This window comes from Homo sapiens, chromosome 4 (genome assembly GCF_000001405.40).
Source record: "Homo sapiens chromosome 4, GRCh38.p14 Primary Assembly".
NCBI lineage: Eukaryota > Metazoa > Chordata > Mammalia > Primates > Hominidae > Homo > Homo sapiens.
The window spans coordinates 189,066,158-189,092,507 of NC_000004.12; the positions used below are offsets into that span (position 1 = coordinate 189,066,158).

At 36.9% G+C, this 26,350-nt stretch overlaps 1 long non-coding RNA gene across 2 annotated transcripts in view; it reads right to left on the reverse strand.

Annotated features, from left to right (window-relative positions):
* Nucleotides 1-26,350, reverse strand: part of LOC105377612 (uncharacterized) — a 37,949-nt gene that overhangs the window by 7,177 nt on the left and 4,422 nt on the right. Inside the window, exon 1 of one of the 2 annotated variants that reach the window (XR_939632.2) lies at nt 22,713-22,956. The exons of the other annotated variant lie outside the window; for it this stretch is intronic. This is a non-coding gene — a long non-coding RNA (uncharacterized LOC105377612). Of the gene's footprint in view, nt 1-22,712; nt 22,957-26,350 lie in introns of those variants that run through there. 2 annotated transcript variants of the gene reach the window in all.

Below are 26,350 nucleotides of genomic sequence, written 5' to 3' on the forward strand. Positions count from 1 at the left end.
CTCCCAAAATACTTGGTTATAGGGTAAAGCAGCCTCTACTGTTTCCCTCTCTTCTAACTCGGTAGAAGGTTAAGAGAGAAAAAAGTTATTTAGAATAATACACAATGTTTCCAGATGGATTTTACAAAGACAGAAGAACCTAATTCATGACTCGCATCTAAGATCTTGGAGATCTTGTATTCTCTGTTAAGGAATTTGCTGATCTTCTCGTCATCAAGTTCAGAGCAAATAACTGTTCTGAATTTAAAAAAAATAAAATTAGGTAAATTATTTGTGTCTTTTCTACAATTAGATTTAACTTCACTTAACTCACAAATATTGCACCTGATTACTTACATGCAAATTTTATCCCCACAGCTTTCATGTTAGACAGCAGTTTTCATACACAACAGGCTTCAGGAAGCCAGCTCTGATAGCTGCTTCCCCCTCACCCCGTCCTTCTTAGCAGCCTTGAGATGAGTCAGGAATCCTGCTTTCTTGTTCAACTTTCTCACATGTAGGTTTAGGAAGGATTAAGGCAGAAGCAAAGGTAATCATTGGAGTCCTCCTCCCTGGGGCTCTTCTCTCAAATCTTCCTGAGTTGTCTGTCTCAGCAGTGGGGTTTCCTTCCGTTCTCTCATCAGAGACATTCTTGACTCCCAACATTTACCATTTTCTAGTCTCTTTTTATCAAAAATATTCCCCAGATATATATTTCTTAGTATTTCTTCAGAGTATGCAGCATTTTCTTACATTTATAGTGTGTTAGAAATTCCTTGGACAAGCATAAAAATGTTGTTCATTACCATCTTGCCCCAACTTCTTCTTTTCATTTTTTCCTGTTGTTCATGTGGGTAGAGTTCAGCCACACCAAATTATTCACCTGTCACCAAATAGAACCCACCCTTTCAGACCATGGTGCATTTCCATGAGCAATTCTTTCTACTCACAGTGCCTATGGTGCCTTCCTTCTCTCACCCTCCCTACAAGCCTTGCATATGCCTCTGTGCTCTTCTCCCACGCTAGCTACGCTGTGATGCCTCTCCCCTTGAGTGGGCCCGTTTAGCTCGTTGCTCCCTCTGCTCCCAAGCCCTCTCATGTCACTTTCTCATTCACATACAACTTCCTATAGTCAATGTAGTTTAAATTCCAGCATCCTACACTACCATCTCATTCAGTGGTTAGGCTCCAAACTGAACTGCATAAAGTGAAACGTAAAGTGAAAATAATAGAAACACAAAACTAATGATGAGAATCCACTAGGAACCTTTCCTACTCGACTTTGCCATACTAACCCTCAGTTATTTAATACACTAATAAATCCAGTACTGACCTCATTTTGAGTCTTTGAAATGAAGAGTAGCAGGTGTCATGTTCCCTACTTAGACACAAGGAATCAGGTTTTAGGAACCCTACTAACTTGCTGTAACTTCACTCAGTTATTTATCGAGTCATAGAAATAGATTGTGAAGCCAAGTGTTTATATCTTAAGGCTTTTGTGCCAAACTATTTTTTGGTTCAAAACAATTAGAGGACTTGGACTTACAACAAGGAAAATATTTATAGACAAATAAGGCAAAAGTATAAATGCTAAAAAATTATGAAAACCCTCAAAGATCTTCAGTGTTGCTAATTTGTATTCAAATGTTGTAGGGAATCTGTGAAGGTACATAATTTCTACCTTTGAATTACAAGAAACATATAATTAATACCTTTATGTTAAAATAACTAAATACATGTTTGAAGAGAGAGATCTGGAAGAAGCCTTCTTCTTACATGGTTACATCAAGATAGTTCTGACTTGGTTCTACTAATAAAGGGGACATGAAAAGCAGCAAAAGGAGAGAGACATTTCCTAATTCAACCACAATTTCAACTTAAGATTTTAAAATTTTCAAGTACTGAGTTTTTTGTTCATATTTCTATTTGCCTTGTATATCTGGCTTAAGCCACTGATTCTCCTTGAGAAGTAAGAACACATTTCTTTGGGAAGCTATGGGAAGGCAAACGATTGCTTGACCCCAAACACAAATATGAACTGTGTATTCCAAAGTTTAAATCTTCAAAGTAAAAGAATCATTGTGATTTAGTCAATAGCATCTTTTGAAAAGAGCTAAATGCTTCAGAACTTTCTCCAGAAGACACAATCAGTGTAACTTCAAATAGTTACCCAGTAGAAAAAGAACAGCATTTAATAACCACATAGAAGACACAGTTACGGGATAAAGGAAAGATGGAATTGAATCTGATCAGCACCCAGGTGTGACAGCAGGGCCATGAAATTATCAACTACAGGCAAGTGCAGTGCGACTGCAATACTAAGCGCTGATGCTGGAGAACACAGCGGGGCAATACTGAGATTGAAGAAAAGAAGGTAATTTACACTCTGTACAGAGATAAAACTCAGCAAAAGCATGCCATAGAGTTCCAGGAGTATTTACTGAGAAGATTCATCACAAGCTAAGGAAGAAATCAGAACGGAAAAGGATGCTGAGAAAAGGGAACAACTTTCAAGGACAAAAGCTAAAGATAAAGAAAATGTTAAAGATAATTTTAAAACATTTTGACTTGTTGTTTTTGTTTATTTTACAAAATGCCCAAGTGAAAAAAAATTCCTCTTACAAACTAGTACGATGGAGTATTAAAATTTCTTATATTGGACATCTGTTAAAAAGGCATTTTGGCAAATAAGGGAATCGTAGCTAAGGATTAGAATTTCTATTATTATCTAACTTTATTTGTTTAAGGGAAACATCATTTGGAAGCTGTCAGTCATGATGCCGCAGAAAAACACTCTCACCGGTGCTCTTCAGACACCACGCTTGGCTAATTTTTGTATTTTTAGTAGAGACGAGGTTTTGCCACATTGGCCAGGCTGGTCTTGAATTCCTGACTTCAGGTGATCTGCCCGCCTTGGCCTCCTAAAGTACCGAGATTACAGGTGTGAGCCATTGTGTCAGGTCAGTAATTTATATTTCTATCATTTCTAATTGGTTTTAAATGATGCAATAAGCCTTTCTGGTTTCTTGAGTCCAGGCTTATTTCTCTCCATGACCCTTGATTTGTGTTTGGTATTTTAGCTGTGTCTATTTCCTGTTGCATAACACTCTGGATGTTTCCTATGGATTTGATCATTTCTTCTTTTGTAAATTTTATCTTCACCAAATATTTATTTAAAAATGTGTTGTCACATTTCAGATTTTCTGCATTTCATAAGCTTTTTCTTAACGAGTAAATGAGGCAAAGCATAATGCACACTTAGCAGAATTCTTGGTACATAATATGTGCTTAATAAATGCTCTTTTCTTTGATTCTTGGTAATAATCTTCATATAATTCTTAATGGGTAGGTTTAATTATGTTCTCATTCTGAACCTACATTACCCGGTTGCAGCATTCCATACACAGAGCATGTCGGTTTTGAAACTGTCTTCCATTCCTCGCTGACTTTCACACAGCGCTACTCTGCTCATTCTGAGCACTCGCTTCCACCTTGCACACTGGCAGCCGCACACATTGGGAGGGCCCTTATTCATGTATCTGTGTTTATAGGCTCTCTTTGATACTCACGTTATATTCTGTCTAGATGCCATATTTATTTACATAATCATACTTATGTAATTATATATTAATTACAATTATATGTTTATAAATTTTATGAAACTTGGTGAAAACTAGATTATCCATAGCCTCTTCCCAGTCTCTGCATTGCAGCTGCCCTTCTAATTTCGCTCCCATTTCTTGGAAGATCTTCCATGCTGACTGGATGTATTCACTTCCTGTCTGTAACTCCTATAGTATTTGTTGGAATTTCTCACTTGATACTTCCCTTGCTATCTTTATGCATCATATCCTATTTATACCAGCCAAGTCTCTGGAAAGAAGGAAAGGTATTGTGTTTGTCTAATCACAGTCACTTGGTCTAAAAGGTATTCAGGCCCTTTGTTTTGTGAGAAACTGAATACCTGTAGAAAAATTTGAATCATTCTTACTTATGGATATGGTGTAGGTATGCTGTAGGTCAGGGCTTTTTTTTTTCTTTTTTTTGAGACAGAATCTCACTCTGTTGCCCAGCTGGAGTGCAGTGGCATGATCTCAGCTCACTGCAACCTCTGCCTCCCAAGTTCAAGCTAGTCTCCTGCCTCAGCCTCCCTAGTAGCTGGGTCTATAGGCACCCACCACCACGCCTGGGTAATTTTTGTATTTTGAGTAGAGATGGGGTTTCACCATGTTGGCCAGGCTGGTCTCAAACTCCTGAGTAGGTCAGGTTTTTAAAGCCAAGTTCTAGAGCTAAAAGCGAGTCTGTGTACTCCTACAGAGTCCACAGACAAGCCATGTAGTTGAGAAACGAGGTGACAAAGCCAAACAATGGGTAGGAATGAGATAAACCGGCGTTCACGCTGGCACATGAAATGAACTTGAAAGTCCCGGGATTCCACGGAAGATGAAGATTCTCAAAATTAAGTTCAAACACACCCAGATTGGTAGATGTCAGAGTTGGAGAAGAGAAACACTGAACTTGGCCAGAAGAAAATCCAAAGCAGAGGTGAGAAGAGCCATGCGTCTTGCTGTGTCCCAAAATGTGATAAGTTCATACAGAAGCCATTTGTCTCTGACAATTTTTTTTCTCTAGAATTCAAAGGTAGGGTTTTCCTGAACCGATTTGGCTGGAATGCGCAGTGTCACACTGCCCAGATTTTACTCTCTGTTCATAGAGACGCAGGTGTATTGAACGGATTAGACAGTATTATGACATTCATTATAAACCAAGTGGCTCTCTTTGAGGCTCTTCAGACACAGCTGTTCATCCATAGAGCCCCGCTGCCTTACACAGGCACACACACGTTTGCGTGTGCCTAGATGATGAACTTTATAGGTACGGCCTCTCTCCCTACACTGTAGGAGAGGACAGAGTGAGTGGAAAGAAGGATTCATCTCCTGCATTCCACTTCACGAAAAGATCATTAGCTTGAAAACCAAGGGCTGTTCAGTGCTCCAGGCATTCGTCTCCCATCACTCCTGTGACCTCCATAAAATCACACTTACATTTCAAGATCAGTTTTTTCCAGTTTTGTGGTTGGATATGAAGTAGCTGATACACCCATCTAGCTGTGCACTTTACAAGTCGTAAGAACAGCGGTGGATTCCATTTCTTTCTATTCCTGGTATTGATAAATCATCAGTTTCATCTTCATACCTGACTGAGAACTTTTCATGGCTAGTTTCCCTGGCTGAGCTCACAGAGTGCTAGCAGACGTCCTCCCCTGCTCTGGGTTTATCACCACCCGACACCAATTTCTGTTGCTAAACTTCTCAGCTCACCACTTCCCCATCCCGTCCTCACAAAAACCTTCCACTAGTAGAAGCTCCACTTTATTTTGCTATAATTTTCAATATCTTGTCCTTTTCATTTCCACATCCTACACTTATTTGGATATACATATTTGGAGAGATTTATCTGTTTTGTTCAACACCTGCTAAGACGTTTTTCAAGATTAGCCCATAATGTAGCTCATATTTTGGCAAGGTTGAAGAGTTCTTCTAAGAATGTAGTATCTTTCCTTGCATTCTTGTACTTTATCTTGGCTCTTGGTCATGCCTAACATGTCATGCATTTTCTCACCCTAACACAAAGCTTCTATGTAACCCATAATCATTATCTAGGTTAACAATTCTGCCCCAGATATCCTATTGTATTTCTCCTTAGTGAAGATTTGAAAGCTTTACATCTATAAGTCTCTTTAGTTTGTTTTTTTGATGATTTCTATAAATTATACACACTTTATTTTGATGAAAAAGTGCAAATGATTAGAAAGACAAGTAGTTGGGTAGGCCCACCGGTAAGCCATGGCCACGTTGGTGGAATGTATTTGAGGAGTGTGTTTATGAATGGCTCTGTGCATGTGTGCGTTTCAGGAAGGAGACTGGTGCAGCCTGTACATATGCAGAGCTGTATATTGTGTCTACAGTTGATACATTTCTTCTTACATTCACCAGCTGTGCTGTGATAACTGCCGGAACTCCAGGTAACTATATTCTTCAGACAAATTTCCAAGGTTCAAGGTTGCAGTTTATAAACTATATCATCCAATCACCTATTTTGTGGGTAGTCTAGTTTTTGCCAAGTTTTATAACATTTATAAATATATAATTACTTTTCTTTTCTTTTCTTTTTTTTTTTTTTTTTTGAGATGGAGTCTTGCTCTGTCCCCCTGGCTGAAGTACAGTGGCGTGATCTCGGCTCACTGCAACCTCCGCCTCCCAGGTTCACACCATTTTCCTGCCTCAGCCTCCCGAATAGCTGGGACTACAGGTGCACGCTGCCACACCTGGCTAATTTTTTGTATTTTTAGTAGAGATGGTGTTTCAGTGTGTTAGCCAGGATGGTCTCGATCTCCTGACCTCGTGATCCGCCCGCCTCAGCCTCCCAAAGTGCTGGGATTACAGGCAGGAGCCACTGTACCCAGCCGACTACAGTTTTTTTTAAAAGATATATTTTTAAGCACAAGATTTATTAATTTATAAATTGTGCCTCTCGTTTAAGATTCTGATATCAGGGTTTTGAATGTTAACAGGCCATCATTGCCTGGCAGAAATATAATTTACTATAATTCAATTTTATTTTTACAAACATCTCTTGTTGATAGTTGATTATGCTTCTGTGAAGAGATTTTAGAATCCGATTCTATAAACCTGAGGTATTGTGTTTTATTATTGGCCCACATTATCTTTAAAGAAACACAGCTTATAAGCAGCTTATTTAATTAAAATAAACTTTCACTTTGTTCCCTACCTGCTTCAGTGAGCACATTGAGTCTTTTGTATAATACAATGACAAGGATCATATTTTTCACCATATCTGGCTTTTTTCGAAGGTCTTTTTGTTCAGTCATTTATCTTTCCAAAGACCTGGACACTCATAAGTATCCTAATTATTGAAAACAAAACTATTAATAGTTTTCTTTATTAAGGGTACACCAGGTCAATTACAGAGCAAATCACTTTTATCTAAAAAAACACAAGTTTTCTGAAAGTAATAAATCTGCAGATAACTTTTAGAGAGATGAGGAATTGATACAAAAAAATGACTTCTGAAATTTAAAATAACTAATTTGAAACACATTGCTAAATTACTCCTCCCAAAATGAAGACTCCTGAAATTTAAATAATTGCTTTAATGGAGATGAGTAGTAAATGCCAAAGTGAAATGAGAAGTGTATTTTTAGAGACTCTAACCTGTCGGAGATTACATACTAGAAGCACATATTTTGCCTTTGATTGCTGCAGACACAGGCATCCTTTTGAGACCTTTAACAATTCACATTGACTGTCACTTTTCCAGATAAACATACGCAAAACATTTGCTGCAGCAAACCTTGAGATCATGCTAAAACATATAAATCAAACAATTAACACATACCAAGTCATCATATTTTCCCCTTTTAAGAATTAGTCGCAGTAGCCTTTTAGCTATAAACTGTGTTATCCTAAAGTTTCACATAGAAAGTAATCAAGAGACCAAGTTTTCCTAAGATTTCATATGATCCTGTAGCAGAACTGTATAGATTCAAGACAGTGACTGTTATTATTAAAAATAACATATCTTTAGTTAGAGTTAACATGACTGTCTAACAAATCATCCAAAGTGTAATGGCTTAAAATAGTGACAAAATTTATTTTTCTCACAAATCCTCAGTTTGGGAGGGACTCAGGGGAACTGTTTGGCTCTGCTCCACATGGTGTTGGGTGGAGCTTCTCAGAGTCTGGGGCTGTCATCATCTACCGGCTCGTTATCTCATCTGTCTAGCACTTGGCTCTTGCTGTGGCAGGGACCTTACCTGGTGCTATTGGTCAGAACACCCACACATGACCTCTCCGTGTGGTCTGGACATTCCTGCAACGTAGTGCCTGGCCTTCAAGAGCAAGTGGGAGACAGAAAGAGCTGGGCAAAAGCGGCATTGGTTTTATGACTTAGCTACAGAAATCACAAAGCATGAGATGCGCCATAACAGTCATAATTCCCACCCAGATTCAAGGGGAAGAAAACAGACCTCAGCTCTCCACAGGACAGGTGTTGGTCATATTATAAGAAGAACACGTGGGGTAGGTTATCAATGTGGATGTGGGTGTTTGTGTTTGTGTGTGCTTGTGTATCCATGCACATGTAGGAACACACAGACACATATGTGAAAACATTTCAGGGATGCAACTTGTCACTCTTGGCCTCATTTCAATTCCAGTGGAAATATAAGATTTTAATACCTTGTGGAAACTGCTGGAACTCTCTTCAAGAAGCTGACCTTACTCCAAGAGCAACTGAACAAGTTGGGTAGGCACTACCAGCGAGGACCCCTCCATAAACCCTTAGATTCTGTCAGTACTGAAGGAGAAAACTCCAATTAAGAGTGGGAGAGTACCATACCATGAAAGCAGAATAGTAAAAACTGTTGTTCCTGCCAGCCCAGCATCCTTTTTTTTTCAAATATGTATCTATTTACTTTTGAGGAAGCTGTGGCTTCCACAGGCATTTATGATATCTCTTGGTTCTTGTGATTTTTACTGATACATGCCTAACCAAAAAGATTATTTCATCCCCCATGGCCATAGTGATGGACTTAGCAAAAAGTTACAGCCAATGTTTATTATCATTGGGAGTTTTGCTCAAATTTGGGAAAAATATAAACATTTCTATTGCAACAATCAAGTAAGATGTAAGCCTGTGTTGCTACTGAAATAAATGCATACAGAAAATAGCAAAGATGAACAGAAACAGGTACCTTATGCATCATTTGAGCCTTTAGAAATAGCAAAGGTAACCTTCTAGTAATGTGGGCAAATTTATCCCTTTTTTCTTACTTCTCTGTTTATTAACTCAGTCAACTGGGTTTCTGTCAGTTATAATTGAGGACCCCAAATAAATACTATGTGGGTGTTAAGAAGTTTAAAGAAAACAGATGTTTTCACAGTGGAAATAGAATTAATTGCATTCCACAAACAGCAAAATAGCAAAAAGGCAGATGCAAGTCCAGCCATGTCAATGACTACATTAGATGTAAATAGAATCACTTCAATCAAAAGGCTGATATTGTCAGATATCATCTGACAATAACATCCTTTATTGGCATATAACAGATAACATCTACAATTAAGGCAGATAATATCTACAATTAAGAACCTCTCTATTTATTTTAGCTAGACAACCTACAGTATAGAAGAAAATTTTTTCAATCTATCCATCTGACAAAGGGCTAATATACAGAATCTACAAGGAACTTAAACAAATTTACAAGAAAAGAACAAACAACCCCATGAAAAAGTGGGCAAAGGATACGAACAGACACTTCTCATAAGAAGACATGTATGTGGCCAACAAACATATGAAAAAAAGCTCATCATCACTGGTGATTAGAGAAATGCAAGTCAAAACCACAATGAGATACCATCTCATGCCAGTTAGAATGGCAATCATTAAAAAGTCAGGAAACAACAGATGCTGGAGAAGATGTAGGGAAATAGGACCGCTTTTACACTGTTGGTGGGAGTGTAAATTAGTTCAACCGTTGTGGAAGACAGTGTGGAAATTCCTCAAGGATCTAGAACTAGAAATACCATTTGACCCAGCAATCCCATTACTGGGTATAGACCCAAAGGATTATAAATCATTCTACCATAAAGACACATGCATACGTGTGTTTACTGCAGCACTATTCACAACAGCAAGGACTTAGAACCAACCAAATGCCCATCAATGGTAGACTGGATAAAGAAAATGTGGCACATATACACCATGGAATACTATGCAGCCAGAAAAAAGATGAGTTCATGTCCTTTTCAGGGACATGGATGAAGCTGGAAACCATCATTGTCAGCAAACACAGGAACAGAAAACCAAACACCGCATGTTCTCACTCATAAGTAGGAGTTGAACAATGAGAACACATGGACTCAGGGAGGGGAACATCACACACTTGGGCCTGTTGGGGTGTAGGGGGCAAGGGGAGGGATAGCATTAGGAGAAATACCTAATATAAATGACGGGTTGATGGGTGCAGCAAACCACCATGGCACATGTATACCTACATAACAAACCTGAACGTTCTGCACATGTATCCCAGAACTTAAAGTATAATTTTTAAAAAGGAAAGAAGAGCAAATTAAATGCAAAGCAAGAAAGAAGAATTAGTAAAGATTATACAGAAGAAAAAAACATAATAAATCAATAAAATCAAAAGTTGTACATTTAAAATATCCACAAAATTGACAGACATTTTGTAAACTGACAAAAAAGAGACGACACGAATTAACTAAATCAGAAATGAAAGACTGGATGCTACTACTGATGTCACAGAAATTAAAAGAACTTTAAAGGAATAATATGAAAAACTGTATCAAGACAAATTAGACAACTTAAATGAAATGAACAAATTCCTAGAAAGACACAAGTTGCTAGGACTAACTCAAGAAGAAATAGAAAATATGAATAGAACTAGAACTATAAAACATAAAGAAATTCAGTTAAGATTTAAATTTTTTCCCAAAAAGAAAACTCCAGGCCTGTCACAGAGGAATTCAATCAAACATTTAAGAAACAATACCAATCTTTCACAAACTCCTCCAGAAAACACAAGTAGAGGGAACACTTCTCAACTTATTCTATGAGTCTCATATTTAATAACAAAAACCAATGGCATCTCAAGGAAAGAAAACTACACGCAAAGATCTCTCATAAAGGTCAATGCAAAAATTCATGACAAAATACTAGCAAGCCAAATTTAGTAAAATATTAAAGAATTATACATCATGATCAAGAATGGTTTATATTAGAAATGTGATTTTTATTTGAATTAAAATTTAGAAATTCAATTAACTTAAGACACTATATTAATTAAACTAAGGGCATAATCCAAATGATCATCTTGATAGATGCGAAATCATTTTACAAAGTCTAACACATATTCCATATAAATCCAACACTCATTCATTGTCAAATCTCTCAACAAGCTATAAGTAGAAGGGAAATATTTCAATATGATAAAGGACAGTCAAAAAACCTACAACTAATATCATACTTCATGGTAAAAGAATTAATGTGTCAGCCCTAAAATTAGAAAGAAGGCCAGCACACTGACTTGCCACTTTTATTGAACATTGTACTTGCTAGAAGTTCAATAGGTACAAAAAGGCAATTGAAGGAAGTAAGGGCCGTTCAGACCGTGAGGAAATTCATCAAAGTGTTTTTATTCCCAGACAATATGATCCTCTAGGTAGAAAAACCTAAGCAATTTACAAAAATGCTACAGAAAATAATAAATAGGTTTAGCAAGTTAGGTGGATTCAAGCAGTGTACCAATGTCAACAAATGTCTATATATTACCAATATATAACATAAAAACAAAACTAATGTACAAATCCATTCCTAATGGCATAAAAATGTAATATAAGTAGTATAAGATTTGTATCTGAAAAATACAAATCATTGCTGGGAGAAATGAAAGAACATTTTTAAAAAGAGAAACACCTTACCACAGCCAGAATGTCCATTACTCAAAAGTCAGAACAAACCAAAACAGCATATTGGGTTGGATGTGGTGAGAAGGGAAAAATTAGACTCTACTGATGGGGATGGAAATTGGTACAACCCCTATGGGAAATAGTAAGGAGATTTCTCAAAAAACTGAAAGTAGATTCACCACTGAATCCAGCAATCCCATTGGTGGGTATCTAGCCAAAGAAAAAGCAGTCATGATATAAAAACAACAACAACAAAAACAAAAACCCACACACACCTGCCTGTGTAGATTTATTGCAGGATAATCCACAATTGCCAAAATATGGAGCCAATCTAAGTGCCCACGAACTGATGAGTGGATAGAGAAAATGTGGTAGAAGTACACCATGAAATACTATTCAGCCATTTAAAAAAAGAACAAAATAATGTCTTCTGCAGCAACTTGGATGGAGCTGGAGGCCATTATTCTAAGTGAAGTAACTCAGGAATGGAAAAGCAAATACTGCATGTTCTCACTTGTAAGTGGGAGCTCTGCTCTGGGTACATAAAGGCATACGGAGTGTTCTAATGGACACTGGAGACTCAGAAGACAAAGTGGGAGGGAGTGACAGATTTTTTAAAAACCTACATATTGGGTACAATGTGCGCTACTCAGGTGACGGGTGCACTAAAATCTCAGACTTCGCCACTATACAATTTATCCATTTAACCAAAAACCACTTGCACCCTGTTCATAGTTTGGAAAACTCAATATTGTGAAGGTGACACTTTATTCCAAAATTGATCTATAGATTCAACACAATCCCTTATTAAAGTCCCTGCAGAGTTTTTGTTTTTGCTTCTGCTTTTGTTTTTGCAGAAATTTACAAGCAGAGTCTAAAATGTATATGGGAAGGCCATCAATTTTCTAAAAGACTATCCTTTCCCTCTTATACCTTAGGTATACATCTATAGATCAATGTCTAGAAACAAATCTTTCCATTTATATTAAATTTATCACAAAGATGCCAAGGCAATTTAAGGTGGAAAGGTCAGTCTTTTAGAAAACTGATGCTGAGACAATTGAATATTCACATACAAAAATATGAGTTTATACCCTTACTTCACATGAACTCAAAGTGGATCATAGACCTAAATGTAAGTATTAAACTATAGAACTTTTAGAAAAACACATAGGTGGAAATCTTTGTAACTCTGGGTGAGGTCAAGAATTCTAAGATACGATGCCAGGTGCAGTGGCTCAAGCCTCTAATCCCAGCACTTTGGGAGGCTGAGGCGGGTGGATCACTTGAGCTCAGGAGTTCGAGACCAGCCTGAGCAATATGGCAAGACCATGTCCCTTAAAAAAAATAATTCTTTTTTTGACACCAAAAGCATAACCAATAAATGGAAAAAAAATTGGATGTTATCAAAACTTAAAATGATTATATGTCAAAGGACACTATTAAAAGACACTATCAGGAAAACAAAAGGAAAAGTCACAGATTAAGATGAATTATTTGCAAATTATATTTCAGATAAAATATATTTTTTCTGGAATTTATTACAACTTTTACAATTCAACAATAAGAACACAAAAGTCCCAATGGGAAAATGGGCCAAAAATGTGAACAGACACTTTACCAAAAATGGTATATGAATTCCTAATAAATAAAGATATTCTCAATATAATTTGTTATTTGGGACATGAAAATTAAAACCACAATGACATCCTGATTAACATGAATGAAAGTAGCTATAATAAAAGTGATAAACAATGACAAATGTTAGAGTGAGGGTATGTAGAAACAGTCATCTTCATGCATTGCAGGTGGGAATGTAAAAATGGTACTGCCATTTTGTAAACAGTTTGACAGTTTTATAAAAAGTTAAATATAGGCCGAGTGTGTTGGCTCATGCCTGTAATCCTAGCACTTTGGGAGGCCGAGGCGGGTGGATTGTCTGAGCTCAGGAGTTCAAGACCAGCCTGGGCAACATGGTGAAACGCCATCCCTACTAAAATACAAAAAATTAGCCAGGTGTGGTGGCGTGGGCCTGTAATCCCAGCTACTTGGGAGGCTGAGACAGGAGAATAGCTTGAACCTGTTAGGTGGAGGTTGCAGCGAGCTGAGATTGTGCCATTGCACTCCAGCCTGGTGATCAGAGTGAGACTCCATCTCAAAAAAAAAAAAAAAAAGTTTAAATATAAATTTATCACAGGACCAAGCAATTCCACTCCTAGGAATTTACCCAAGACAAATGAAAATAAACATCCACACAAAGGTTGTATTCAAATATTATAGCATTATTCTTAATAAACAGAATATGAAAACAATTTATATGTCCATCAACTAATGAATGGATAAACAAAATATGTATATTCATGCCACAAAAATTTTGCAATAAAAAAAGAAGTACTGATACATGCTATCACATGTTTTGAGATGAATCTCAAAAACATTATGCTAAATTAGAGAAGCCAGATGCAAAAGCCCACATATCCCATGATTCAATTTAATGAAAGTCCAGAGGGTTCCATCCCTGGAGTCAGAAAGTAGCTAGTGGGGTGTGGGTGGGACTAGGGATTGCACACACCGCCAAGAAGAATTTTCGGGGAGTGATAATGGAGATGTAGTAAAATTTGATTTGGGTAATGGTTGCACAACTCTTTAATTTTATTAAAAATAAGTGCCTTATAAAATTAAAATGTTGAATTTTATAATACATATATTAAAACATATATATAGTACCTCAATAAGTGCTTCAAAAATTTTTGTAACAAGTTAACTATATTTAAGTACCAAAAAGTAAATAAAATGATAGGACATACACCATATTTTGCCCATTGAGAAGAAAACACCAAGGAAAAGCCTTAAGAAAACACAGTGCCTCTGTGAGATGCATGACTTACTTTGTCTTCTGTGTAAAAATTAATTAGAAACATACTCTAGCAAACCTATTTGACTACTTACAATGATGTTATTAAAATGGCAAACTACTTTTTCTCTGTTTATTAGAAGAGAAATTGTTTTATAATATTTTGCTTAAAATAAATCACTCCAATTGTTTCAAATCTGTTGTAGTTTTGACATTATTTCCCTCAAGTGTTTAATTTCTGCTGAGAGTTTAATTGCTAATGTAATAATTTTAAATATAGTGAGATACTTTATATAGCATATAATTAAAGTATATAAATTGTGAACTGAATTTCACATAGCCAGAATTACCATAACACTACATATTCTCTTTTATATTTTATAAATTTACAACTTACAAAACACTTATGCAATTTACTGATCAGTTACTTTGCATCCGAAAAAAACCTAGTCTTTGAAAATTCATTAAGAATAAAATAAACAATAACGTATAAATTTGTGAAGCCTAATTCTAGAAGAAGATTTATTTCATGTTCTTTTCAAAAGTTACCTGTTAGAATTTGTCTTAAGTGGCCAATTGATGAAATGATAAAATTTTTTAAAAAATTTATTTGCCTCATTTCTGTATTCAGAACCACATGCAACTCTGTTTCTACTGTATGATTATTATTTTTTAAACCATTAAATTCAATGCCATGTAGGTCACTATGAAGACATTTGTGGAAAAATCACACGTGCATTTTTGTCAGTCTCATAACAAGGTGTATTAGTCTGTTTTGACACTGCTAATAAAGACTATCCAAGACTGGGTAATTTATAAAGGAGAGAGGTTTAATGGACTCACAGTTCCACATGGCTGGGGAGGCCTCACAATCATGGCGGAAGGCAAAGGAGGAACAAAGGCACATCTTACATGGCAGCAAGCAAGAAAGTGTGTGCAAGGCAACTGCCCTTTATAAAACCATCAGATCTTGTGAGACTTACTATCAAGAGAAAAGCATAGAAAAAACCCACCCCCATGATTCAATTACGTCCTCCAGGATCCCTCCCACAACACATGAGGATTATGGGAGATACAATTCAAAATGAGATTTGGATGGAGACACAGACAAACCATGTCACAAGGGTTCACAGGATATTACTATCTAATTTCTGGTGAGTTGAGGACACTATTTTTCAATCTGTGTGAGGGATCTTTACATGAACTCAAGTTTAGTTGATGTTCACCATATACGTGAATTTAAGTGTCTGTAGCCTACAGTCTTTCAAACAGAAGCACTACTATGTCACTTCAAGTGTGACAGACATTAGGGACATGACAATGCTGTGTCCTGAGACAAGACAGAAAAGCTATCCTTTAAAGTTACAGGATACAGTATAACATGACTAAGGATTTCTATGAAGATGGAGAAGTGAGCACTTCTGGAAAAACCTGGAGTCACTAGTGAGATTGAGGGATGGCAGGCAAGGGGAGAATATCTGGAATTCCTTAAAAGAAACCCTTGAGTCATCAAGAAAGGACAATTAGCCAACAACAGTAGAGAAATATCTTAGCAGATGGGGCAGCAGAAATATACACATAGGCAGAAAGTGATGAGTAGCCCATGAGTAATAGATCATTAACATCAAGTCTCTACCTGCAAGAGTTTAACAAACAAAAAATTGGTAAAAAAAATTATCAACAAAGTAGTATATGTATGAATATGATATAAGATGTTCATGATTGTCTATCTCTATAACAATTTTTATTTGCTACTAAAGAATGTGGCCTTTGTAAACTTAAAATAAAAATTCATATTTTGTGTCCAAATAGCTGAAAATAATATTTAATAACAAAAAGTAATTTTTAACTAGACCATTTAATTATTATCTTTACTCAACTGCTTATTTTACCATTAAAAAGAATAGTAAAAATCAAGACAATCTCCAGAATTTTGAGAAAGCAGGCTTTTTCTGGAAAAAAAATTGTAAAGTCCTGTTTCTCAGTGCTGTAAGAGTACCTATTACACTACATCGTCATAACACAGAACACATACTTTAAAACTTCACTGCCATTTTAGTAGATGGAAATATTACCACTGTGTTGCTTTAATATTATCTCTTTGATGATCATAAATGGAAGCTTTTTCATATGGTATTAGCCATATGACTTTCCTCCATGTTTGATATCTCTATTGATATCCTCCACCAGTGATTCACTTGGAGTCTTAATGGTTTTTTATTCCATTTGTGAGATGTTGTTTACACCCCTGTTTTGGAAAGGGGTGTACAGTTTGAATGAACACTTCCTGTTTTGAGTTTATTAATCATTCCCCCAAATTTATGCTAGTTTATTTGACTTTTAATTTTATTGTTTTGCAAACTACCCAAAGTTCATTTTAACTGCGTAGTAGATATGGAGAGACAGTAGAGCATGATGGTTAAGAAAGTGTATTCTACATGGGACAGTAAAATCCTCTCCACCCTTTACCTTTGACCCAGGCCCTCTACTCCTTCTAATGAGGGTCAAGAACACAGCTAGAAAATCAGGGAGAAGGCAAACTATTCCCCAAGCCACTACAAATACCATTTCTGACACCTTATTTCAGCTGCACAATTGTATTAGTCTGTTTTCAAGTTGCTGATAAAAACATACTAGAGACTGGGTAATTTATAAAGAAAAAGAGGTTTAATGGACTCAGTTCCACATGTCTGGGGAGGCCTCAGAATCATGGCAGAAGTTGAAAGGCACACCTGGCATGGTGGCAGGCAAAAAGGGAGTGAGAACCAAGGGAAAGGGGCTTCCCCTTATAAAACCAACAGATCTCGTGAGAATTATTCACTACCATGAGAACAGTATGGGGGAAACCACCACCATGATTCAATTATCTCCCATCAGGTCCCTCCCACAACACGTAGGAATTATAGGAACTAAAATTCAAGATGAGATTTGGGTGGGGACACAGGCAAACCATAGAAAAGATTTTGCCCGAGAACTAGATGTGAATAGAAATTTTAATTCACAATCATGTTTGAAGCGTGATTATTACACAGCATTGAACTGCATTATTACTGAACTAAAACTGTGTTTGCAATGCACAGGTCACCATACCATGGGATACTACTCAGCACTGAAAATCGATGAGCATGCAGTAGTAGGGATGATTCTCACATGAAAGAACTGTGGAGTCCTATTTAGGGAAGAGGAGTCAGGCTGGAGGGACCAAGAGAAAGCAAAAAGAGAAAGCAGATAACTTAGAAGTCTGCCTTTCTTCCTGGTCCAGGACACATAGCCCTCCTGTGCAAATAACTCACAATCTTTCTGTGCTCAGCCATCACCAGACCCTTCACTGACAGAAAATGACAAGTTAGCTTACTACAACCCTGGTGTTATCAGTACTACGCAAAGCCCTCTTCAGCATACAGCAAAAGCACCATCCTATAAAACCTCACAGCAAACCTTTGTCTCTTGGCAGTTAGATCCTCTCTCGCCAACTTCCCCATCGCTCCCTTGCAACATATTTTCCTATGTTCTCTAATAATATGCCTTTCTTTAGTTGCAACTATCTTGGTAAATTCTACTTACTCCCAAACCACTGACCCCAGGTAGTTGCTGATGGCCTGCAGCCGAAGCTAGATTCCAAAAGCTACACACTGTATGAATATAGCTACAGAAGATATCTCGGCAAAGACCAAATTATGGAGCTGAGAAACCAAACAGTGATTATCAGGAGCTGGGAATGGAGACAGAGGTGGCTTGCAAAGATGTAAGATGAAAATTTGGGGTGGTGATGAAACTGTTCTATATTTTGGTCTTGGTAGTGGTTACATGACTATACACATTTTTTAAGATTAACAGAATTGTATACTACAAAGCATGAATTTCACCACCAGTAAATTATACCTCAATAAAAAAAAAGAAAAAGAAGTTTGGTAGAGTTACACGGGATAAAAATTGATATGACCAGTGAGGAAAAGAAAAAATAACAGTCTCTGACATTCAGAAGCTGGCTTGGCCCCAAAAGCCATTCTTCTATTAAACACAAAAAATGTCACAGAATAATATCTTCAGACATGGCTGCTCTAAGACTCTAAAATAAGATAAAGTAAAGCTACTGCATAATTTTAAGAACAAGATCACTGTGCCACCCACAATACTAACCATTCCTCTCTACCAGCTCATTTAAGTGACTGCTACTACTTTACCAATTATGTTTAGCCTCACTCTATTCTGCCTTCCTATAGATAAGGTTTATAATTGAGATAACCAATCAAAAGCTTTGAGAGTCACAGACAACCACCCCTAGACACTGCCATGGGGCCGTAGCCCAAAAGTGCTCCCCATGGCCTCTGCACCTGCCTGTCTGCATGCTTCCACTAGGGGTTTGAGCAGCAAGGCGACCGAAGGAGTGAGCCACACCCCTGTCACATGTCCTGTGTTGCGGATGAGGAAACTTTCCTGTTTCAATAGTAAGCAGCTATGTTGTGGTAAAATACCATTTCACAATTCTACCTAAAGCTGAGATGAACAATAATAGAAAAGAATATTCAAAAGCAATTAAACAGCCTTAAGGCAAGCTCTATTTAGGTGTGAAATAGAAACAAAACATTTAGCAACTGGCCACAATATTCTTTTAACCTCTTGCAAGTTTTAGGTCTTTTATTATTTAAGTTAACTGGATAGTGGAAGAAAAAATTATTTTTCCTCTCCCTTCTAGCTTCTCCCACTGGAGCCCTGCAAATCAGATTAACATAGCACAGATTAGCAAGAGAGAAGCACATAATTTTATTAGCGTGCCCATCCCCAAAACACATGGAAGAAACTTAGTAGTCAGTAACTCAAAGGGTAGTTATTGGTGTCTCCAAACCTAACTTAGTAGGGGAAAGGGAAAGGGAGAAACGGTACTTGTGAAAAAGCAGCTGAATTTCTGGAAAGATAAATGGGCTCTTAGAATAGACAGAAGATATGAGAGTGCATGAAAATGTCTATGTGGGTATGGTGATGACTTCTCTTCTTCTAAAAAAGAAATGAGAGTTGTTCCTAGGAAAAGGTAGGCTGAGGCAGGAGAACACTTGAACCCTGGAGGCGGAGGTTGCAGCGAGCCGAGATCACACCACTGCACTCCAGCCTGGTGTCAGAGCGAGACTCTGTCTCAAAAAACAGCAACAACAACCAATCCCAATTTCTTGGTGGAAGTTACCAGATGTATTATATAGTCAGGGAAACTTGTAAGTCACAAAAGATTAAACAAATTTAACATAAGCAAAATTATTTTGAAAGATCAAATTAAGAGTTATGATTACCAAAAATTTTAATGTTGATCTGAAAATACTGTAAACCCTTAGTCTAGTTAACACTAAACACTCCTGCATGATGGGCTGCTGCTGACATTGCCACAGCCTGCTTTCTCCTCAGTGTTTGTGAAGTTACACATGGCAGCACAGAAGCTTTCTGTGAGGACCTTGAATTTTGTCCTGGGAGCATTTCAGCATGTGGCATTGGCATCTCCTTTGTCCCTTTCCAATCCTCATCCCCAATCCCTCCTCCCATGATGAATAAGATGCCACCCAGCCAGAACTACTGCAGAGAATTATAGCAGCAACTCTTCCTCCAGGCACTGCAGGGCCTGTAAAACTTTCACGAACTCATGAAAGTTTTATTGCTTTCTCTCTTTTTGACCAATGCGAGAAATAACCACTACCACACATTTTTTAAAATTAAAAATGTAAAAAAAAAAGCAGAACAAAACAATAGAAATGTCCACAAATACAAAGCATTCCCCAGTTCCTTAGCTTGTTATACTAGCAAAACAGAAATTCTTTATTCTCCGTGTGAATGGTAACTGATAAAACACACATACCCCTAAGAAAACAAATGATTAGCACACTGCTGTGTGTACTGTCAGCTCGTAACAAATAAAAAGCAATGATTCTACCCATTTTCTTGGCTACGTGTCTTGAGAAGCAAGGGAAGGGATATTTAATGATTGTTTTTTAGTGTTCTTTTTGAAATCTCCATTACAAATGTTTTGTGTTAAAAAAAAATGATCATGCTGTTCAGAAGTTCAAATTCAACACTTAGGAATACACTATCCGTAATTTCGGAAAGAACACCTTAATGCATACCATATACATTTACTCCCTCTCCATACATATAGTATAATATATATGGCATATATAATATATACTATTATATATTATATTATGAATACATATTATATATAGCATACATTTATAGTAAATAAATATATAGTAAATATATATTTACTATATATAATGTATATATTTAATAATGTAATAATATAACATAAAAATCTTTGTATGTCTTCTTTTAATTCAATTCAATCTCCCTTAATTTCTTTATATTCATTCAAAATCAATTTTTCTTGAATTGTTAAGTGCATCCCTTAACCCAGAATTTTTTAAAAATCTTATTAAAAATATAACTATTCAAAACAGGAGATGGTACTCTGTTGTTCCTAGTTCTAGAGTTTAAAGGTGACCCCATTCTGACTGATAGCTGTTGAGATATTTCCTGTCTAACCTCAGTTGTCCTTCACACAGTGTTCAATCTGTGTGGCATGTTTGGAAAAAGCAGACTCGCAGCACAATGCTAAAACTTCTGCCTCAGAACCATTGAGCTCCAAGGCATTTGTTTGCCTTAAGGGTGGACATAGCTCAACACAGCTCAACTGATTTCCCATGTTCTTAATAGGTGTAAGGTGGATATCATTATATGAGAAATAATGTAAGACATGCTTCTAATAGGACCCTGAAGGTGAGTTAAAGTGACAGGGCACCCATTACTGCCTTTAATAGGACATTAAAGCCTGGACACCCTGAACACCATTTTATCAGGGAACAGGCAGCAAATTCATCTAGAATTCTCAAATCTGCCACATCCTGAAATGTAGTTCCATGAGAGTGCAACTTTACACCCAATCGGTCTCATTGTATTTCCTTTTATGATCATAGGAATACATTTGATATTTCTAAATCATACCATGCTAAAAATGAGATTTCCATACTAAAAATGGTAAAAGAAATGGATCATCAGGTAGACAAGTAGGAAAAAAAGAAAAGAAATTAAGTCTTGCTATTCTGTTTTCATTACCCTGCTTGGAGTCCCAATTTGGATACTAAACGAATCCTATCAAGTAAATATATATATTTACTCTTGGTGTTGGCTAACATGGTGAAACCCCGTCTCTACTAAAAATACAAAAAATTATCCGGGCGTGGTGGCGGGCGCCTGTAGTCCCAGCTACTCGGGAGGCTGAGGCAGGAGAATGGCGTGAACCCCGGAGGCGGAGGTTGCAGTGAGCTGAGATCGCGCCACTGCACTCCAGCCTGGGCGACAGAGCGAGACTCCGTCTCAAGAAAAAAAAAAAATTGCTTTAATGCCCTGATGTTTATAGATACAGTATCAAATAAGAGAAATAAGTCTGTGTATTGCCTTCTGACAATTCATATTTATAATTCATCTATCAATAGAAATTGATTATAGGATCATAATACCCTGAAAAATGCAATATTATACTTATGTACAACAGTAAACATAATATGTGCTTCTGTCATGGGTTTTAATATTTCAGGCGCAGTTAGGCACAGTGAAATGTTTAGGAATAACTGTTCTTAGACGTTTTACTGTGCCTCATAAACCATGTCAACTGAGCCATGGTTGAAGACTGAATGGAATATTTCAATTAATTATTGACAGATTGTTACAGTGACTCAAGAGAACCAGTCAAGCAACAATGACAATATATTTTCTCCTCTTAACTACCCCAACACCTAAAATATTCATTTTTAGGAAAATATACATACTAACTTAACAGCATAACTGAAAATATTTTATATTAAAGCTTATTTTCCCATTAGAGTTGCTTTGATTTTTGAACTAATTGCGGAAAATTGCAAGGACAAGGTTAACTTAGAGGATTTTTTTGACACCATTATATGTAATCTTTTTTAAATTTAACTTTAAGTTCTGGGATACACGTGCAGAATGTGCAGGTTTGTTACACGGGTATACATGTGCCATGTTGGTTTGCTGCCTCTAACTTTGAGGATTTTTACATAAAATCACATAGCTAAAATCTAGGCATAAAGACATGTAAATGACTTCATTTTCATTTTCCTGAGCACCAACTTTAACTCTTTCTCAAATCAACTGTGGCATCTGTCAAGTACGTCTCATAGTAAGGAAGAATGAATTTTGGCACACTGTCGACATTAACAAAAATGGCAGTGGGAAAAATAGCTGTATTTTTGTATTTCCAAATGACCACTTAAAATAATCTCAAGTCTTTATTACATAAATTTTCTGATTCTCCTAGTCTCTTTGGCTTCATCTTTCTGTGTTAGGCCTTGTCAGTATCATCAGTTTACCTTTGGATAAGAGCTGTTCATCTGGGATGGTGTCTGGGCTGGCACACACCACACACAGAGCAAACACAGCTGCAGCGGCTCTCCCAGGCAGCATGCACCAACACTAACAGCACAGAGAAGTCCGCCACGGCGTTGTCTCCACGTGTGTCATCACACACACTGTCTTCAGTCATAAACTCAACAGAGCTCATCTGTTCTCCAAAAGGTTGTTGGAACTACATTGTTCTTGCATGATCTAGCAGCATTTGAGTTTCTAATACTTTAGCAAAATTATAAAAACATAAATGAACAGTCAGAGTCTTTTTGAAGGCTTGGAAGAAAAAGAATCTATTAGAGATGAAACCATGCTCACATAGATAAAATAATATTAAGGAAGTGTCTAGTATGAAATTCTGCTATTAAAAAATGGTGTTGGGACCAGGTAGGGTGGCTCACACCCGTAACCTCTGTGGGGAATTACTTTGTGGGGGCCAAGGTGCGGGGATTACTTGAGGTCAGGAGTTCGAGACCAGCCTGGCCAACGTGGTGAAACCCCGTCTCTACTAAAAATACAGAAATTACCTGGTGGCAGGCACCTGTAATCCCAGCTGCTCAGGAGGCTGAGGCAGGAGAATCACTTGACCCCAGGAGGTGGAGGTTGCAGTGAGCCGAGATCACGCCACCGCACTCCAGCCTGGGCAAGGGAGCTAGACCCTCTCTCAAAATATATATATGTTATAATATATATATTATATATACACACACATAAAAATAAAAAAGGTGTTAGGAGTAGCTTAAGGTAGAAAATAAATAAATAGTATTAGATGCATTTTCTGAGACAAATGTAATTCAATTAGAATTGTCCGCTATTTACATTCAAAGTCAATTAATAATCCTATTCAATAAGCTGGCCGTGGCCTTTGCCTTATACTACAAAAATGTCATTAAGAATCAAATATAATCGACCCAAATTGTGTTAGTTCACCGCAAGTTTTTACACCTTGGATTTTGCATGCATGCTACAATGATAATAGCATCACTGTAGGCTAAAGCACTTCTGAATAAAATTGTTTTTATTAAAGTTTCAAAATTTTAAAATATTAAACTGTATGAAACAATATGACTTATTAATGGGCCAGTGATTTTACAGCATCTCCTAACACCCCATCTGTGGCCCAACAGTGGACCTCCACAGTAGTACATAAATGTATGTCAATTGGTTGTTACATAAACATATTCTACATAAAAATGTCTTTTGTTTTTCCAAGTATATACATTCTGTAACTCATGATTTGCCTTGTATTTGTTCAATCTTATTACTTATAGCTTTAAAATATATCACAATTAAATTGTATGTAGTTAGAAAAGGAGGACATTAGGAAAAATATATGTAATGAGAGAAGTCTTAGCCTTACAGAACAAGACAAACACTTCAGTCAGGCAAATTTACAAACAAGGCTGCAAGTCAGTCAATGTGGCTCAAGAGAAGGAGTTTCCTCAGAGCTCCTGGGACAGGGCACAGCTCATCACAGCCACTAGAGGCAGCTGACTGCTGCTCCACTCCTGAGCTCCCCAATTTTGTTTTCCTTTTTTTTTCTGGACACAATGGCTTCTTCTCTTTAATAATGCCTTCCTTCTGCCCCATAATTTCTATTTGCATGTGGCTTTGACTTGTTTTGGTGACAGCTCTATGTTAGTTTCACACTCACTAATACTTACTTTTTCTGAGACTTTTTGCTCAAATTTTCCAAAGAGAGTACATAAACAGCCCAGCCCCTGGATTAGTTTACCTTGAGACAAAACTCCATCGCAGGTCCAAACAGCTAAGGTGAGGGAGGCCAGGTCAAATAGCACATTCCTCTCCACCTAGACCCACCTCTTTAAAAGTGATTGCAGGCTGTGGACAATATTTTTAAAATGAGACACAGGCTAAGCTAATACCCCACAGTGTACATCGTACAATAGAAAAATAGCTAAATACAGACAATTCATTAAAAAAATTCCGAAGATCATTATTATAAGAAAAAGCAATAATTAATGAAAATTGAGGGTTTAATTTCTACTATACAAATAGCATAGTAGATTTTCTTGAACTGTAATGATCTGGATCCAGGTTACTGCTGCACAAATGGAGAGGAACTGAAATATACTAGAAATAGACGTGGCTAGATACAGATATAGACACATATGTGTATGCACATTCTCTCCCAATATATACAGTTGATAGAGGTGAGAGAAAAAGTCCACTAATATTTCTATGAATTTATTTTTTGGTTAAAAAATGAATTTGGATACTATATTTTCATCTGATTTCTATTTTACAAGGCCCATAATGTAAGTATTTTTATTTCACTACTGTTAGATATTCCCTGAGAAAGAAAGAGACACTTGACATGTGAGAAATATCACATTTGCAAATGGATGTTTTTTGAAAAATATCAATGTTCTATTGTCTCTAGAATTAGAACATTGTTAAAAAATACATTTTGGCAATAACGAAGTGATTAGTCATCTGTGGGGTACAAGATAACAATACAAGAAACTAACCTTACTGAAAAGGTGGTGGATGGCATGTGATTGCTCTACATGCATCCCTTCAATCAATACCAGAATAGCTTTGGAGGCAGGTACAACGGTCATTATCTAAATTTTATAAAAGAAACTTAAATAGACAAAAGTTGTTTTCCCAAGGATACAGGGCTAGTAAATTAAATGGTGGGAGCCAGATTCAAACCCAGTTTTAATTTCAGAGGAAGCCATTGTTGGCCTCTGACTTTAAATTCCAGATAAATGGAAATAAGCCCATGTTATGGATATTCTAGCAATTTTGCAGAGTAACTCTAATGACACCTGTATTCTCTGTGTTATTATACTGAAATAGTCTATAGATACTCAGTATAAAGATACTGCAATGAAGAGTTGTATGGATTTTTAAAATTTTTATACACAGTTTTTGAAGACAATGTTTTAAAAATCATTGAGAATATTGGGTCATTTTGTTTTCATAGTCATGCCTTCCCCTAAAGAAATCCTTTTGTTAGAAGATAAATTAGGAGGCACATTGTTTAGAAGTAGACATAGAAAGATGGATTTAACAATCTGCCTAATTATGTTATTTCTTCTTTTTTGTTGTCTCTGTGTTCGTGCATGTGCATTTTTTATGTGACTAAGGATATCCAGAGAGTGGAACGGTAATGAGAAGTACAACAAATGGGTAGAATCATTTTGTTTGCATTATAATCCATACATGACTGATGTAGTACGGGAAAATAAACTTCTAATTGTGGTCCTTGGTCCTAGGACCAAACTCATGATCAAAACCACTCAGATAAAAAGTATCCAGTCAGAGTAAGGTGGTTGTTTAAGAGAAAATGGGATTTTTGGGGATGCTGGAAGTCAGAGAGCAAAGACAATGTTCAAAAACACGTGGTCTCTGACTTCCCCTTCTCTCCAAGAATGGAAAGTTGGCTGCCGATGCTGTGGTTAGTTTACAAAGCAGGGAAGGCCTATGTTGGTGAGCATGTACTTAAACTGAGTGTGAGTGTGGCCTCGCTGCATGGGGAGTAGCTGCATCCCACGTGCACTAGAGAATGCAAATGCCAAAACCAACACCAAAACAACAGCCCTCTCAAAAATGCTTTATTCGCTTCTACTCTACA